Genomic DNA, 19,206 nt, shown 5'->3' with positions numbered 1-19,206 from the left:
TTTATAAGATTGAAATAATCCATCCTTTGAATATTCTACAGAACTTGCCTGAAACCATTGGTCCCTAGTTTTTTCAAGGTAAGATTTTTAACTAAATGTGCAATGAATAATTGTTTATTTTTTTGTCCGATTTTGTAATTCAGATTTTTCTTGATATTTATCATTTCTGTGTTTAGTTTAAAAATAGCATAAAATTTTTTATATTTTTCTCTTATGTTGTAAATCTTTGACATGTTTTTAGCCCCCTTTTATGATTATAATTATTGCTTATAAGTATCCTTTAACTTTTTTTAGTCAATCTTGTCAGAGATTTTTGTATTTCATTAGTCTTCTTGAAGAACTAGCATTTGTCTTTATTCATCCTTTCTATCACATGCCATTTTCTTTTTACATTAACTTCTGATCTTCATTGTCTCCTTCAAGTACATTTGTTGGATTTATTCTGTTGATACAGCCTAATTCAGACATTGGCACACTTTTCTGTGAAGGACCAAGTAGTCAATATTTTAGGCTTTGTGGACCATACAGTGTCTGTTACAAGTAATAGGCTCATGCCATTGTAGCATGAAAGCAACCATAGACAAAATGTACATGAATGGGCATGGTGTGTTCCAATAAAACTTTATTTACAAAAACAGGAGCAAGATTTGACTCTTGGCTTGAGCCAGTTTACTGACTCTTGGATTCTCAATACGTGGTCTATAAACTTCTGAGGGGTCCCTAGGAACTTTTTAGGAAGTAAAATCAAAACTATTTTCATTACAATGCTAGGATGTTACTTTCTTACCATGTTACATTGAACTGCAGTGCAAAAACTAGGGTGGATAAAATCACTGGCACTTTAGCACAAATCAAGGCAGTGATGGTATTTCCATCACTGCACCCTCACTATAAAAATGTATGTCAGTTCACTTAGGAATTTCTTTAATGAAACAGTAAAAACTATTTAATTTTATTAAAACTTGATCCTTGATTACATATTTTCTTAGTATGCTGTCTAATGAACTGGAATTTACACATAAAGCAATTCTGCTGTATTTTAAAGTATGATGCCTTTCTCAAAAAAAAGAACTTACATGATTGTTGGAGTTGCAAGCTGAACTAGCCATTTTCATCACAGGACAGCATTTTTACTTGAAAGAACTAGGCAAACTACGAGTACCTAGCTTTGGGTATTTGTCAGGCATTTTCTCAAAAATGAATGAAATGAGACTGTCACTTCAAGGAAAACGTTGAAAATACTTATTACAAGTGTTAAAATTTGAGCTTTCACATAAAAATTAGAATATCTGTCACTGTGAGTTTAACAGCTTCCCAATGCTTAAACGCCATTTTGATGAAATCGGTGGTGAAATTAACAAGTGTTTTTCCATATAATACAATGAAATATGTAAACATTCAGGAGATCTGTGTTACTTGGTGTATGAATATTTTTAGATGATCAATAAATGATATTACAAAATTATGCATGGGTAAAAGATTCATTCAAAGTGCAAGACATACCCATAGATCTTAATGTAACAGATTATGAAACATTCATTGATGTGGTTTCAGATTCCACATTGCAATTAACCTTTAAGAGATTACCATTAGTGGAGATTTGATATAGTATCAAAGAATAATATTCACAATTATATGAAAAGGCTATGAAAATACTCTCCCTTTCCCAGTACATGTCTGTGTGAGGCCAGGTATTCTTCATATACTTCAACCAAACTAACATATTATACGACATTAGATGTAGAAGCAGATATGAGAATCCAATTCTCTTCTATTAAGGTAGACATTAAAGAAATTTGCAATAATGTAAAATAATTATATGCTTATCACTAAATTCGTTTGGGAGAATATTTTTATTAAAACATACGGTTAACATAAAATAGGTTTGTTATTATTTTTAAATGAATCAATAAATGTCTTAAATTTTAAAGTTCTACCTCTGTATGACAGTTATAACTCACATAAATAAAAGCTCTTTGGTGCCCTTGATAATTTTTTTTTTCCCCAAGACAGAGTCTTGCTTTGTCCCCCAGAGCTGGAGTGCAATGGTTTGATCTCGGCTTACTGCAACCTCCACCTCCCAGGTTCAAGCAATTCTCCTGCCTCAGCCTCTCAAGTAGCTAGGATTATAGGCACGCACCACCATGCCTGGCTAATTTTTGTATTTTTATTAGAGACTGGGTTTCACCATGTTGGCCAGGATGGTCTCGAACTCTTGACCTCATGATCTGCCCGTATCGGCCTCCCAAAGTCCTGGGATTACAGGCATGAACCACCATGTCCAGCTGGGGCCCTTGATAATTTTTAAGAGTATCACATGGTCTTCAGGCAAACATTTGAAAACAACTGGTCTAGATTATTCAGTATGATACTTAACTCATTCATTTTTTTTTAGCCTTTCTTCTTTTCTAATGTAACCATTTTAGGCTATAAATGGCCTTCACAGCCTGTTTTCAACCACATCACATAAGTTTTGATAGGTAATGTTATCATCACTTAGTTATAAGTTTTATATTTTCATTATGATGTTTGCTTTGATCCATGAGTAATTTAGAGGTGTTTTTAATTTTTAAAAATGTCGGAATTTTCATTTATCTTTATTATTGGCCTCTAATTTAATTGCACTCCAGTTAAACAATATGATCTATGTAATACCAATTCTTAGAAATTTGTTGTGACTCGCTGTATGTATTAATATGGTGGTAAATTTATAAGGATCACATATGTGTTTGAATATAATATGTATTGTCTATTTTGAGGTGATTCTACAGAAGTCCATTTTATTTTACTTGCTAAAAACAGAGCTAAATTCTTCTATATCTTTACTAATGTGTTGTCTATTGATTTATCAATAATTAAGGGAGTTAAATTGTTAAGCCTGTTACAATCTGCTGCTGCAACTGTGATTTTGTACTTTCCCCCTTATAACTCTATAATTATTCCTTTTCATGTTTTTAGGGCTATTTTACTAGTCAGCTCACACTTGGAATAGTTATATATTCCTGGTGAATTGAAATTATTATAATTATGTAAGTAATCCTCCCAGGAATGCTTCTTTTTTATCTTAAAGCCTATTTTGTTTGGTTTAATACAGTCACCCCATGTTTATTGTGGTTAGCATTTGCCTATTATTTTTTCATGCTTTTAATTTAAACCTTTCTATGTCTTTCAACTTTGGTTGTGTCTCTTGTAACAGTATATCACTGGATTGTATCTTTATCCAATATGACAAACTCTGATTTAATGTGCACATATTGTCTATTTTTATTTTTTATAAGTAATGATACTTTTATATTTGTTTCTACCATTCTGTCTCTTTCTTGCTTTTTTCCTTGTTTCTTGTAATTGAGAATTTGTTATAATATTACATTATACCTTTTACTGGTTTCAATGTTATGCATTCTATTTCTATAATTTAGAGGTCACTCTTGAAATTTTCACTATGTATGCTAACTTACCAAAAGTGTAAGTTTTAGTAATGTCTTATCCTGAATAATAGGAAGGTCTTAGAACTCTTTTACTATGACCCACCCCACTCCTAATTTATAGGCTAGTATTGCCCAGCATTTTAATCCCATCTTTTTTAAGCTCTGTAAATTAAACCTTATTTTAAAATTATTTTATATAGACAGCATAATTTTTTAAGTATCTCTGAGTTTAATAAGCCGTTCGTATATCTTTATACTTCACATTGCAACCATTCATTTTTAAGTCCCTTAGTCAGAAGTTCCTTTAATGAAGATTAGCTAAGTTATACATATGATTAAAAAACTTTTGTGTATCCTAAAAATTTTGTATGTGCTCCTCTTTTTTTTTTTTTTTTTAAGACAGAGTCTCACTCTGTTGCCCAGGCAGAAGTGCATCGGCTGGATCTCAGCTCACTGCAAACTCCGCCTCCCAGGTTCACGCCATTCTCCTGCCTCAGCCTCCAGAGTAGCTGTGACTACAGGTGCCTGCCACCATGGCCAGCTAATTTTTTTTTTGTATTTTTAGTAGAGATGGGGTTTCACCATGTTAGCCAGGATGGTCTTGATCTCCTGACCTTGTGATCTGCCCACCTCGGCCTCCCAAAGTGCTGGGATTACAGGCGTGAGCCACCGCGCCTGGCTTCTCCTCATTTTTTAAAAGATATTTTGTTAGGTACACAATTCTAGGTGGATTATCTTTCAACACACGGATTTTTTTTTTTCCTATTTTTTGTTGTGTCCATTATCACTGATGCAAAGTCTGTTGTGGGTAAAATTGTCATTGCTTTGCAAGTCACCTTTTCTGTCTGGCTGCTGCTAAGATGTTTTCTCTTTGTCTCCAGTGATCTGCAGATACACTGTAATGTGTCTAGTTGTGGATGTCTTAGTTATAGTGGCTTGGCAAAATTGTGTTTGTTTTGTCTGTGGATTCTTCTATTTTGTCAGTTTCAGGAAATTCTGAGCTGTAGACTCCGGTTATTACAACCCTCTTAATCGCCCTGTTTTTCTTTATAACTCTTACTAGATGTCTGTTAGAACTCCTCATTTTGTATTCAATGACTCTTACATTCTCCTTCCTATTTTCTATCTTCTTGTCTCTCTGGGTGACAAAGCTCTCTGGGTGGCATTCTTTATAATTTATTCAGATCTACCTTTCAGTTTATACATTTTATCTCCATTAGTATCTGTTTCTAATTGCAATATTTTTATCCATACATATTCAGTTTGGGCTTTCTCCCCCCTCCCAAAACTTTCAAGGATTTTTTTAAGGTTTCTTGGAAAGTTACTTACTTTTATGCCCTCTTATTTTCTTAAACATTATATGTGTATTTATTTTATATTTTATGTGTACCAAGTTAATATATGAAGTCTTTGTGAGTCTGGATCTTTGTTGTTTCAACTGATGTCCATTCATGGTGGTTTGTTTCCTTGTATGTTTGGAGGGTTTTTTTAGTAAATTATGGGCTCATATTTATGTGATTTCATCTATGGAAATAACAAAACTCCAAAGTGAAGGTGCCTTCCTCTAAAGAAATTTTTTATTTGCCTCTGCTAGAAAACTCCTAAGAGGAGAGCACTCACTCCCATGTGAGGATGCTAAGTTAATGTGAAAATACCAAGTTTAGCATTCTGTGTTGTAGCTACTGACATTTTTATATATATTTCTAAAAGCCAATGGGGGAACTACTAGAATATTTGAGCAAGGAATTGACTTTCCTCACTTAAGTTTTAAAAAAGGTCACTTTGACTATAGGAGAGATACTAGAGATGGGCAAGAGAGGTAGATCCATAAGCCAGGGAATGATTATAGGAACTGAAGTTGGAATTTAAGCTAGAAAGTGAAGGAAGTCAGGTCACCAAGAGTAAAGGGACACTAAAAAGATGGATCGATGGATCGGAGATCCCAGTAGGGTTAAAGCATTGGCCGAGATAGAGTACAGCAGGGAGTCAGCTTCATAGATAAGAAGACTTCCCAATTTCCATTTGGCAGAAAATAATTTCAAAATCTTCTGGGAGATGACAATTATTCACCTTTTCATGGGTTATTTTTCCATTTAATGTTATTTTACTCCTAAATGAGGTTCCCACTGTCAGAAAGGTCGTTTTTGTTCCCTATAATCCAGCCTAAGTGTTACATAGCCAAAGTTTAGTTCTTTTTTCTTAATAATGCTATTTTCTACCAGGTTAATTTTATTCCTGTCCTCAGTTAATTTTCTTTTTCCTCATCCCAGACACTTGAAGACCTTTGCCAAATACCAAACCGAGACCCCTGCCATCATTCAACACAATTGCACAGACGCTAATCTCTTCATGGTAAATTCTTTCCATTAACCATTTGGAATGGTTCTACTCTGAATCCAGTCTGTGTTTTCCTTTTCCTTATAGTGTTGAAGTGGATGCAAATATGGTAGCCCAGCCTTTTAAGATATACAGATTTCTGACTCCTACACTGAGTTCCAAGGACTATAGGTTTGTTTCGAATAGTTTCTGAGGCATTTTCTTCCACCTCATCAAATTTACCTATGATAGGCCTAAGAAAATGACCACCTATTTCAAGCATTTTATGTTCTTTTAAAACTATACCTTACAATTTATCCCACAATTTACTTCGCAATTTACTGTCACTTTTATCTGGTTTGCTTCATTTTCCAAATTACTAATGAAGGCAAATGAATAAACAAATAAGGATTTACTACTCACCTTGAAACCCATCTGTTAAAAAACTTCCTCTCCCACCCCCCGTCAGGTTTTAGTTTAGAAACACTGACTGGCCGGGCGCGGTGGCTCACGCCTATATTCCCAGCACTTTGGGAGGCCAAAGCGGGCAGATCTGAGATCAGGAGTTCAAGACCAGCCTGGCCAACATGGCGAAACCCTGTCTCTGATGAAAATACAAAAGTTAGCCGGGCGTGATGGCGCATGTCTGTAATCCCAGCTATTCAGGAGGCTGAGGCAGAAGAATCACTTGAGCCTGGGGGAGAGGCCGGGGGGTGGGGAGGGGGGGCGGGTAGAGGGTGCAGTGAGCCGAGATTGTGCCGCTGCACTCCAGCCTGGGCGACAGAGCAAGACTCTGTCTCAAAAAAAAAAAAAAAAATTACTCACTGACGTTTTCCTATTGGACTAGCTGTGTGCTAGATGCCTTCATAATGGTCTCACACCAACTTTTTGAAGATGTTTTACTTTTCATGTTTTAAAACAGGCTCAGAGAAATTAATAAACTAATAAGCTCACACAGCTAATAAATAGCAGAAACATGATTTGAACTCAGTTTTTCGAGTTCCAAGTCTCCTTTCATTTTTTATTTTTAAATTTATTTTATTTTATTTCTTTATATTTTTTTGGGGGGGGACGGAGTCTTGCTCTGTCGCCCAGGCTTGAGTGCAGTGGCCTGTCTCGGCTCACTGCAAGCTCTGCCTCCCGGATTCATGCCATTCTCCTGCTTCAGCCTCCCGAGTAGCTGGGATTACAGGCGCCTGCCACCACGCCTGGCTAATTTTTTTGTATTTTTAGTAGAGACACGGTTTCACTATGTTAGCCAGGATGGTCTGGATCTCCTGACCTTGTGATCCGCCCTCCTCGGCCTCCCAAAGTGCTGGGATTACAGGCATGAACAACCGCGCCCGGCCCCAAGTCTACTTTTTATCCCACTAAACCATCTACACATGTTAATTTAATTGCTTATTTCATTTTTATTTTAGCCCCTTTAAATAGTCATAAATTCTAGTTTAATTTTTCTTTATAGAAAATAGGCCGGCTATTGTTTTAGCATATGATGCATAAGAATTTTTAATCATCATATACTAAATAGATGCAAATGAACTTAGGTTGTTTGATTTTCCATTTTTTAAATTTTTTATCTTTTTTTTTTTAGCAAAGGCTATTTATATAATGCTCTACTTACCTGATAAGGTGTAATTTTAGAAATGATTTCAGCTGTTTCTCTGCCCACGAATGAAAACATCAAATAGCTTTGGGGCAGATTTTTTTTTTTTTCTTTTTGAGACGGAATTTCATTCTTGTTGCCCAGGCTGGAGTGCAATGGCACGATCTCGGCTCACCGCAACCTCCGCCTCCCAGGTTCAAGCGATTCTCCTGCCTTAGCCTCCTGAGTAGCTGGGATTACAGGCATGCGCCACCATGCCCAGCTAATTTTGTATTTTTAGTAGAGACAGGGTTTCTCCATGTTGGTCAGGCTGGTGTCAAACTCCCAACCTCAGGTGATCTGCCCGCTTTGGCCTCCCGAAGTGCTGGGATTACAGGCATAAGCCACCACACCCAGCCTTGGGGCCGATTTTTATCATTATGATAGGCTTCACCTGAATGGACCCCTCTTGTTAACAACGTGTGAGGAGGAAGGTGAAGATGTATTACCATAGGGAAAGGCCCATAGCAAAACTGTAGAGTGGCTTGAAAAAGATAGTGCAAAGATGGTACCATGTGAGGTCCTTAAGTATAGAAAGTTCTGGAAGCAGAGTTAAGCAATTTTTATAAGGAGATCAAAGCTCTCAGGTTCTCTAACATTCAAGTTGATAGGTAGCTGTCATGTCCAACTGCAGTTGCTCTGTCCAAGGTCTACTGACAGGAGAGGTCTCAAAAGCCCCTAAAGAAATACCTACCAGTGGGTACAGGGCCTGGTCCATGACTTGAACTCAACACAATCACCTAAGGGTTGGATTGGAGAACTGATTCCAGCACAACCTATGCCTGAGTCCGGAAGCGCATCTGGATCCAGCCACCATGGAACAGTGTTGAGGTTTGAAGAAAAAATGGCTTAACCAAATGAAACTGAATTAAAAATTTATTACTTTGCTTCCCCAGGGAAGGCATGCATGCCCCACTGCATCCCTGCAAGTGCAGAACCAGTCTTCAGCAGCGACGCTTAGCGGCTGAAGTGTGATACAGTTCTGCCGTCCTTTGAACAGTGCAATTCCTCAGAGTTCCTGGACAATTCAGAATCGGTGAACCTCAAAAGTGAAATACTACAATTCCTAAAAATACATGTAAATGGGATCTCAATTGATCTATTGAAAAATTAAAATTCATTTATTATTGTACCCTAAGCTGGGAAAACAGACTGTTTCCTGTACAGTGTACACATGATTGCACTCTTGCTGGATTTTCATAATGGCTTCTTTTTTTTTTTTTTCTTGAGACAGAGTCTTGCTCTGTTGCCCAGGCTGGAGTGCAGTAGTGTGATGTCGGCTCACTGCAACCTCTGCCTCCGGGGTTCAAGCGGTTCTTCTGCCTCAGCCTCCCAAGTAGCTGGACTTCAGGCGCACGCCATCACACCCGGCTAATTTTTGTGGGGTTTTTTGTTTGTTTGTTTGTTTGTTTTTTAGATGGAGTCTCACTCTGTCACCCAGGCTGGAATGCAGTGGCGTGATCTCAGCTCACTGCAAGCTCCGCCTCCCGGGTTCATGCCATTCTCCTGCCTCAGCCTCCCGAGTAGCTGGGACTATAGGCACCCACCACCACGCTTGGTTAATTTTTTGTATTTTTAGCAGAGACAGGTTTCACCATATTGGCCAGGCTGGTCTCAAACTCCTGACCTCATGATCCACCCAAGGTGCTGGGATTACAGGTGTGAGCCACCACGCCCGGCCGATAACTGCTTCTTAATGACTTTCTTTGTTCCCTTTCATTCTCTCTCTTTTCCAATATTTTCTCCATATTTGTATATAAAGTTAATCTTCCTAAAATATCAACTTTGCCCAAAAAGTTTGCAACAGCTTATTATTGCCAACAAAACAGAATCAGCTTCCTCATCCTGTGATTAGATACTCTCCATAATCTGACTCCTAAATCCTGAAGGGAGGTAAGAAAGAATAAATATTTATATTTTTTCTCTTTTAATGTCCTCTTCAATTGTTTTTTCTGATACCTCCATTTAAATTGAGGTGTGAATTACATACAATTAAGGGGACAAATCTTAAGTGTAAAGATTAGTAAATGTTTTACATATGCAGTCACCCAAGAAACCATTACTGAATCCAAGTTACGCAACATTACCAATCCCCCAGAAAGCTCTCATTCCCCTTTCAGACTATACTCCCAAAGGTGACCACTATTCTAACCATAATCAACATGGATTGGTTTTTCCTGTTTTCAATTTCATATGAATGCAGTTATGCAACATGTACCCTTATGCCTGGCTTCCGTTATTCACTGGGCATAATAAGATACCATTATGTAGAGCTGTTCTTTTTCAATACTCACAGTGCTCTATCTTTTGTATATATCATAATTTACTTATATTTTTTAATTTATGAACAAATGGTTTCCTCTTTGGGGGGCACTATAAAAAAACTGCTATGAATATTTCTGTACACATTGTGTGTGTGTGTGTGTGTGAACATAAGCACTCATTTCTGTTGGGTGTATTCCTAGAAGTAGAATTTCTGGTAGAGTGTATAAATGTTTGGCTTTATAGAAGCTACCAAATAGTTTCCAAAGGAGTTTAAGAAATTTTTACTCCAACCAGCAAGTAATACATAGAATTCCATTTGTTCCACATCTTTGCCAACACTTGGTATTGTAAGTCCTTTCAATTTTCACCATTCTGGTAGTGAAACAGGAAAGGTTCCCTTGTCCCCCTTGCAGGGCATGTGATGGGGGTGTGGCTTGCTTCTTCAGTGCCCTGCTACTCAGACCTCTAGCGGAGCATACAGACAGGGAGGCTGTGGGGCTCCAACCTGGCAGCAATGTCTAGGGGTGAATGTTTACAGGTGAAGCCCAGTGGGCATGTGTTACAGGGTACTCTCTTAGTTTGCCATCTATAGGCAGCTTGTGTTAACCAGCTCAATTAGACCCATTACCTCGTCTCAAGGACAGAGGGCTTTCTATATCCTGGGTTCCTGCCTTGGTGTACTGGAAGAATCGTATCACACATGGGCTTGGAGAATGAGTGCAAAGTTTAATTGAGTGGAAATAATCCTTGCTGATGGGGGAGACAGAAGGGAGATGGTCTTTTCCCTGGAGTTGCACTGCTCAGTGCCCAGGCTCTCCTCCGATTGCTCAGGCCAAACTCCGCCTCCTCCCGTCAGTCGATGGCCTGCCTGCGCCTGGCACCTGTGGCGTGCTCTTCTGCCAGTGTGCTCCTACATCATCCTCTCGCCAACGAGCTGCTTGTGTCTTCTTCCACTGATGTACTCCTCTTGCCCTGTGGCTGCCTGTGTGTCTGCCTGCTAGGGGCTCAGGTTTTTTTTTGTTTGTTTGTTTGTTTTTTGATGGAGTCTCGCTCTGTCGCCAGGCTGGAGTGCAGTGGCAGGATCTCGGCTCACTGCAACCTCCGTCTCCCAGGTTCAAGCAATTCTCCCCCCTCAGCCTCCCAAGTAGCTGGGATCACAGGCCGCACCACCATGCCCCACTAATTTTTAGTAGAAACGGGGTTTCACCATGTTGGCCAGGATGGTCTCAATCTCTTGACCTCGTGATCCACCTGCCTTGGCCTCCCAAAGTGCTGGGATTACAGGCATGAGTCACCGCGCCCGGCCAGGTCTCGGGTTTTTATAGACATAGGATAGGGGTGTGGTAGGCCAGGATGGTCTTGGAAAATGCAACATTTGGGTGTGAAAGCAGGAGTGCCTGTCCTCACCTAGGTCCATGGGAGTGGAGCCCTAGCCAGGGAACTGCCTCTTTCTACCCAGCACTTCCCTGCCCACCTCCCATATCAGTAGGTGTGTAGTAACATCTCATTATGATTTTAATTTTCATTTTTCTGCTAATTGCATTGATCACCTTTTCCCATGCTTATTAGCCACTTGGATGTCATTTTTTATGAAGTACTTGTTCAAGTCTTTTGCCCATTTTTTTTTAATTTGGCAACTTTCTTTTTCTTTTTTTTAATGGAAGCTTTTTATATATTCTATATATAAGTTATTTGCCAGATATTTTACATACATTTCCAAATACATGTACATATATAAAAATACATGTGTATATATATGACATGTATATGTGTAGATATGTAGATATGTGTATATATATGACGTGTTAATACATGTGTATATATATGACATGTATATGTGTAGATATGTAGCTAGATAGCAAATACATTCTCTCAGTCTATGGCTTGCTTTTTTACTGTCTTAATGGCTGCTTTTGATTGAGAAGTTCTTAATTTTAATGTAGTTCAATTAATGTATGTTTTATGTTTAGTGCTTTATTGTATCTTGTTTAAAAAATCTTTCCCCAAGATCATGGCAATATGTCAATGTTTTCTTATGTTTTCTTCTAGATGTTTTATTATTTTGCATTTCACTTTCAGGTTTATAATCCATTCTCAATTAATTTCTTATTTTTGGTGAAATCTCAGTTCCCACTTTTGAATTCTTCTACTCCAAGTAGACTGATAAACTTAATTGCCCTCTCCTAACTCCACCTTTAAAAAAATAATGTTGGATAATTCTGCCTTTCTACTCTGGCCTAGAATTGTGTAGTCTTCTGTATCTGAATTCTAAACTCAGGTCCCAGCTGTGCTGCGTTCTCCTGAGCCTAATGTGCAGTAAGCCTATACTGCTTTATGCTAGTAACTATTTTTATACATGTGTTACTTTGTTTTCAAGTAGCCTCATACTTCTTGGAGGTAGAAATTGCCCATAAGGGTTAACTAATGCTCTGCACATCATGAATGTTCCATAAATATGAGATGCCAGCTGATTGACATATATACTTAATTCACAGGCCATCCGGTGGACCTGCCCAGGACTATCTGCTGTACAGCTATTTCTGTGAGTGGTGCTGCTGTCATGCTCACAGATGTGTCAAATAGAGTCGGACAATTTTTAATTTTATTAAAGTGGTATCGTCAGGCTTTTCAAGGGATATTTTCCAGGTTTATTTCTGTAGTCCTGTTAATAGCCACTACCTTCTTTTCACATATCACACTTCCGCTTGCTTGTTAACATTCCTCAGTTTTCATTTATGGCTCAATGAGTCTGTTTTGCTTTACTTTATTTTAATTACTATAGAATGTACTGGTAACTTTCTGATGTAGTTCCTTTAAAAAAAATAGAATTAAAAGGAAGGAAAAGTATCAAACAGATTCAACTCCACACTCCCTTTCCCACTCCGAAGGGAGAGAAAAAAATTGTTGGGTCTAAATTTGTCATCTGTCTTCTTTAACAGCTACCCTGTGTCTGTCATGTAGATCTGTTGATTTCCAAATATGTCAGTGTACCTGCTCAAAATTATTTTTTTCTGCTTTGTGACTTTAACAGAGGTGTCAGTATTTTTTTTCTAAGTTTCCTTTTTTTTCCCTGCCGCTCATTTTAAAAGAGTTTAAAAACAGATTATTGCTGCAAATATTCTGATTTGTATTAGTGGCCTTGCTTGCTTTGCTCCCCCATATGAGACACAAATGCCTCTCCTTTCACGTAGCTACTTTATTCAGCTTTTCCATTCTGGTTTTTGTCATAATTATCATTTCCTCTTTAAAAAAAAAAAAGAATAGGTATTATGAAAAATTTCTGTAGGGTTCCCTCCCAATTTCCTCACTGCCATTACAGAGCCTCCGTCCCATCAGTCTCGACGGGCGCACTGGATATTCTAACTCTTTGCGTCCCTCTTTTCTCAGAGCAATTGTAATCTGCTTTAATTATGGTGGATATTCCAGCAGCCTGCCCTTCTCCTGGGCTTTAGTATTCCCTACTTCAATACCATACTCACTAGATTTTTTTTTTTAATTCCCCCAAATTAGCTCTCTTGAATTCTAATGCCCTGGTAGGACTGCTCCCATACTGGTTATGAACTCGATCCCACCAGGTTTCAGAGACGTCGACGAAGGCATTGCGTTCTGCATTTCTGCATCCCTAGGAATGCTCCCCGTCATTTCTCAGGCTCCTCTCAGGCCACAGGTCCCTGCTTTCTCTCTGCTTAAATCACCATGGCAGACCCTTCCCTCAGAAAAGGGGAGAAGACATTGTTTTAGATACCTGACACAGGCCGTGACGTTTTAACCCTTGTCTTTTTAAAAACCTCTCCAGTCAGAGAGTTTTTAAGATAACTATTTATCTTTAAATATAACTTTTAAACATTTTTATTCCACACACTAATTTCTACTCAACTCTGCAGTGTAATTCAGATCCCCGAGTGGTTGACCTGAAACCTCTGGCCAAGGCAGTTGCCTTCTATACTTCTTCTCTGCTGCCCGTTGAGATTTCACGCATTCATGCTGTGAGGAAGGAGGCCAATGGCATATATTTTCGCCAGCTAACCATGCCTTCTCCATCAGCACTTGTGCAGACATACCACACCAGTGAACTGAGGTATCTCTCTTTCCCACAAAAATATTAGATTTAATCATCTCAATATAACAAAAACAAAGAAATATTTACCCTCATTTTTATGAGGGTAAAGATTTCAGAGACTCCGTGTTGATCTCTGAGAGTAAGGGTTTAGGATATCTGCCCCCGGGTGGAGGAGATATGCCCGGTTACTCTCAGGTTCATGTTAAATCGACAGTTGGCTCCCAGGCCCCACCTTTATCCTATAATCACTCTGCTCTCCCATTATTCCTCTCTCAGTTGGAATTCATTCAACTGCACTTAAAGAAAACACAATTCCAAATGATTTAAACAATAAAAAGGGATATAAGGCCTTCTGTAGGTGAAAAATCCAGAAGTATCAAATGAGGCTTGATCCAGCCACCCAACATTGTCACCAAGTGTCTAGTTCTTTCTTTTTCTTTGCTCTGCCTTCCGGGCTATCACTTCATCCTAAAGATGACTCCTACCGTGGTGCTCAAATGACAGCACCAACTTCCTGGAGCTATGTGCTTCTCACAGCCAAGAAGGAAAAAAGCATTATTTCAGTATTGCTAATGAGTCCTGATATTCCTCTGATGGGAGCAGCTTTGGTCACAGGGCCCCTCTGGATTCACTGAGGTTGGTAGAGAAAATGCATTCATTGGCCTGACGTGGGTTGCATGCTCTAACTCTTAAATCAGGAAAGGAGTCTGTTGCCAAGAAACACATGCTTTACAAAATGGAAAAGTTAGCTACTAGGGAGGGAGGAAAGGAGGATGTATCTGGGGACAACACAAAGAGTTGAACTATACAAAAATCCTGGCCTTCACTTCTTTCCCTAGGTGCAAAAAAAAAAAAACTCTGCCAAAAACCATGTTGAGTTTACCTGATTTATACTGCAGCCCTGATGTAATACTGGCTTGAGGAAAGACTTCCTAATGGCTGCTCTCACCTTAAAAAGAGCAAACACACACGCAAACAGGGCAAAAGATGCCCCTGGCTTCTGACAGGAAGCAGCTTGGGTGCTTAAGCAAGTGACTTAAAATCTTTCTGCTCTTATTTTTCTAAGACTGAATGTTATTTGGGACAAGTCCAGATGACTGAAAGTTGTTCAACTGTGAGCCCTGTTTAGTCAGATTTTTTTTTTTTAATAACTTCTGGCCAGATGCAGTGGTTTATGCTTGTAATCCCAATGCTTTGGGAGGCCAAGGCAGGAGAACCACTTGAGGCTAGGAGTTTGAGACAAGCTTGGGCAACATAGCGAGACCCTATCTTTTCAAAAAATAAAATAAAACAATTAGCAGGGTATGGTGGCACCCGCCTGTAGCACTAGCTATTAGGAAAGCTGAGGCAGGAGGATCACTTGAGCCGAGGAGTTCGAGGTTACAATGAGCTATGATCATCCCACTGCACTTCAGGCAGGGCAACAGAGCAAGACCCTGTCTCTTAAATAAATAAAATTAAAACTTAAAATACTTCTAAATGGGGTGTGTTGGCTCATGCCTGTAATCCCAACATTTTAGGAGGCTTTGGTGGGTGGATCATGTAAGCTGGGAAGTTCAAGATCAGCCTGGGCAACAATGGTGAAATCCTGTCTCTACAAAAAAAATTACAAAATTAGTTGGGCATGGTTGCGCACACCTGTAGTCCCAGCTACTCGGGAGGATGAGGCAGGAGGATAGCTTCAGGCCGGGAGGCAGAGGTTGCAGTGAGCCAAGATGGCGCCTCTACACTCCAGTGTGGGTGACAGGGTGAGACCCTGTCTCAAAAAACAAACAAAAAACTTCTACATCACAAAAAGATAAAAGAATAATTTCTAAAGATTTTAGTCATATTAAAACACTATCTATACACAACAGTGGAGGTGAATGTTTCTCTGCTACAGTGAACAAACATTCTTCTTTGAGAAAATACATGTATTTAAATGCATAGTATTCAAAGGGTTAAGAAGCAGAACTTGGCCTGTCTGACTTTGCCTTGGATTGTTAGGGGATTTTTTTTGTTTTTGTTTTCTTCAGTAATTCTTGTTCTGAGGACTGTTAGTTTTTTGAAGTCCAGTTATGGGAGATGGATCCTCAGGGTTCCCTGCCAAATAAGAATGAGAGAGCTCAGGTGAGAGGCAGGGTAGGCGAGCTCAGCTGCCCCTAGTGTCTCTTTGCTCTTTCCTTGCTAGGATCATTGCTGGGAAAATAGGTACCCTGTGTAGCTCCAGGGAGTCTATAAATTAGCAACCCACCTTTCTTTCTTTCCTTCCTTCCTTCCCGCCTTCCTTCCTTCCTTCCTTCCTTCCCTCCCTCCCTCCCTCCCTCCCTTCCTTTCTTCTTCAACTGGCAAAGAGTTAAACTTTTTATTTCTTTCTATGTCTTACCTCAGATGTTTTTAATCTAGGCAGAGAGTATGACAATCCAAGGTCTATATTAAGCTGAACTGGGGCATTGAAGACACTTTCTAGACTCAACTGAGGTTCAGAGAAGTGAAGCAACTTGCCTGGGCCACTCCAATAGGAACCGAGCTCTCTAAACTCCTTCCTTCAGATCCCAGTCCTGTCCAAGGAGCAGCACTTGTAAGTTCTCATTGACATCATAATGTTTGCTGAAACTGAAGAAATAGATGACAGAAAAAAAAATTGACCAGCGCTTAGCACATAGTTTCTCTATGAATGACATTACTTTTTCTGAGTGCTTCTCAGAATTGTTCAAGTGTCACCTGTGTCTCACTGCTTTTTTTTTTTTTTCCAGTTTGGTATCCATAATTGACTGTAAAATTGACAAGAAGCTTTGTATATTTGCCCAGCAAACAGAAAGAAACCAGGGAAATGGTTTCTTTGGTTTTGTGACTTCTCTGAAATCTCTTGTTGGAAAGCATGATTGCCAACATCTGTCCCTCCCCAAAAGCTTATTATGGAGTTTTCCTGTCTAGGGTTCTAAGCTAGGACAAAATAAAGGTAACTAATGGTTTTGAGAAGTTAACTATGTTTTCTGCGTGCATTATAAATCATTCACAGTCACTTTTTGATGTCAACCTGAAGAGAGCTCACATTCTCCTGCTTCTTTCAAATGTATACAAATATGGAAAGATTTACTTTGGCTTCTCATCTTGTTTCCTAAGGCATGCTAGTCAAAAGCCTGCCACCCTCTTTTCTATCTTGAAACTAAAAATAAAATGTATTTTCTTCATGGTTTGTTAACCATAACTGGGTTAACTTATAAATATGTCTTCTAAATATATTGTAATTTACTATTCAGAGTGCAATGTGTACAATTTTCATGTGTCCCAAGGCCAGTTGTGATCTACCTGTTGCTAACAATCACTAGCAAATTCTTTGTCAAACAGTCTAGTTTCCAAAGAGTTAAGTGTGGCTTGGACATTTTTTGAAGAATTTTGGGCAAAGTCTTGTAACAGAGGTTTTGTCAATACAAAACTTTGTGGTTAAAAAAAAAATCAAATACTTCTGAAAAAATAATCTGGTAGAATTCCTAAGGCTTGACTTGAAAGGAGTGGGTTAGTCATGTGATCTTGCTGCCAATTAACCTTGGCTCTAAGGCCAGAGGTCAGAACTATTCCCATACCTTAGTCCGCCAGGTGTAGGTTAGGGGGAAAAGGTGGCAATTTGGAGGACAATTTACAAGCCAGATATAATCATCTGAATTGTTGATTCTGTGTCATCCTAAGAATTTATGGCAGCCGGAAGGAAGGCAAATACGTTGTGCTAATTCAAGAAGTTATAGCTTCCTTCCCTGTTAGTCTGTACAGGAAAACTTCTACAGAAGTTGTAAATCTCACCTTTCTGCAAAACTAATGAGATGGTGTCACTGAGTAGGAGGCATAACCTGAGGTCCCTACAAACAGAAGGCAGCATGAAAACGGGCCTCTGAGAGTTTCACCTGGAAACAGAAGAACTAAACAGGAAGCTAGAACCAATCCCATGTAAAGGAGATCATCCTTCATCAGTGGAGGTGACGAAAAGTTGGTTGATTTTCACACTACTGGTCTGTCTAATAATCATGTCTTGAAGCAGGAATAGCTTTTTTTGTTGTTCTCTTTTGATTTTTATTAATTTATTCATTCAGTAAACATTTATTGATCATCTAAACACTGTACTAGGCTCTAGAAAAACGAGTACTACACATATGCAAGAAGTTAATAGGTTGGTAAATAAAGGAGCCAGGAAAACAAATGAAACCAAGGCAATGAGACAAGTACTATAAAAGAGAAAGGATAGCCATGTGACCAGTGACAGGATTTACAAAATGGCTAATAGGGGTTCAGAATTGAAACTATGGCCATGAATCTAAATGATATCATGGACCCCAAAAGTGATTGAACTACAGATCATGATCTCATGTCTACAATAATTAACTGATGGTAGAGGAAACAGTTTAGGTGGTAAAAGAAAAGTCTTCAGACACTCACCTCTGGCCTAGGCCATGCTTTTCAAGGTTGCCTTGACTGTAGTTGAACTACGTTGTTAAAACCACTTGACAAGATGTAAGCTACTTATTTTACATTAAAATGGAACCCCAGGGCTTCCTTGCACATATACTTAATTAATTAATTTCTTCTTTCATTAAGCAATAGATCATAGAGAATGACTTCAGGATAGGTGTAGAATGAGACTCCTGGATCAATTATAAACTATCAACTTGGGATGCCAAGTTATTCAGTCTCAATGTCCTGTAGCTACCTCCTTCCCCTGCTCGTAACAACATATACAACTCCAATGACAACTATGTTCCTTCTAGACTCAAGCTCATCCTTATAGAAAGTTTAACTGCTGAGAAAAGCCACTACAATATTTTCATACAGGTAAAAGCAGGTGGAAATTAATATTAGGGATAATGTTGAAGTGTAAAAATTGATGTAGGTGAAATTGGAGTGGGTTGTAAAAGCATATTATCTGCCACTACCTTGACAAAGATAACAGAGTTTCTGACAAAGAGAAGGACCTAAACAAATATTGATGAATGAAGACAACAAACTTCCACAGGGGCCTAAGGTGGGGTGAAAGAGCTGCCTTTTTTTTATTACTTATGTTTTACCTGGAAAGCTAAAAGGTAAACTTTAAGAGTGCTTTGCATGTGTTATCTCATTTAATATTGCCTATTTTGTACAGATGAGGAAACCGAAGTTGAAAGAAGTTAAAAACTTTCCAAGGGCTTTCCTCAAGCAACAACGAGTAGGCACCAGGGCCAGAATTCAAATTCCAGTCTGAATTTATCTTTTTCCTCATATTATGCTAATACCTCATCACTTACATGTGTCCTGTAGATAAAATGACATTACATTTGAGCCTCCTTTTCTGCTTGATATTAATGCATGAAGAATGAAAAGGCATACATGAGGGAGTGGATATTGGTGTGTGAGGAAGAAAGAAGGCCTCATTCTAGATAATTGTGGCAAATAACCAGTTCTTCCCTATATCGCCCACCAGAAGTAAAACACCTTCATTCCCTGAGGAGAAGTTCCCTGAGGATCACGCTACACTTTCCACACCC

The 19,206-nt window shown here is 38.8% G+C and overlaps 1 long non-coding RNA gene across 2 annotated transcripts, besides 1 other annotated feature; it reads left to right on the top strand.

The window, feature by feature from the left end:
- The first annotated feature begins 43 nt into the window (after positions 1-43).
- LOC107985518 (uncharacterized) lies at positions 44-9,690 on the top strand. Of its 2 annotated transcripts, none has more exons than XR_001737676.1 (3): positions 44-78; positions 5,699-5,780; positions 8,286-8,420. It is a non-coding gene; the product is annotated as an uncharacterized LOC107985518 (long non-coding RNA). The 2 variants fall into 2 exon arrangements; XR_001737675.3 differs by lacking the exon at positions 44-78 and adding an exon at positions 2,818-3,029 and having other exon boundaries at positions 8,286-9,690.
- Positions 15,491-16,690: an enhancer, noted in NCBI's record as "CDK7 strongly-dependent group 2 enhancer chr1:88079486-88080685 (GRCh37/hg19 assembly coordinates)". NCBI's record gives its function as "activates an origin of replication core promoter dependent on BRD2, BRD4, P300/CBP, MED14 and CDK7 cofactors, with strong dependence on CDK7, by STARR-seq in HCT116 cells {active_cell/tissue: HCT116}" and the evidence as "EXISTENCE:reporter gene assay evidence [ECO:0000049][PMID:35650434]".

This window comes from Homo sapiens, chromosome 1 (assembly GCF_000001405.40).
Source record: "Homo sapiens chromosome 1, GRCh38.p14 Primary Assembly".
Lineage (NCBI taxonomy): Eukaryota > Metazoa > Chordata > Mammalia > Primates > Hominidae > Homo > Homo sapiens.
Note: the sequence above shows the minus strand (reverse complement) of the source record. Positions and strands in the feature narration are given on the sequence as shown.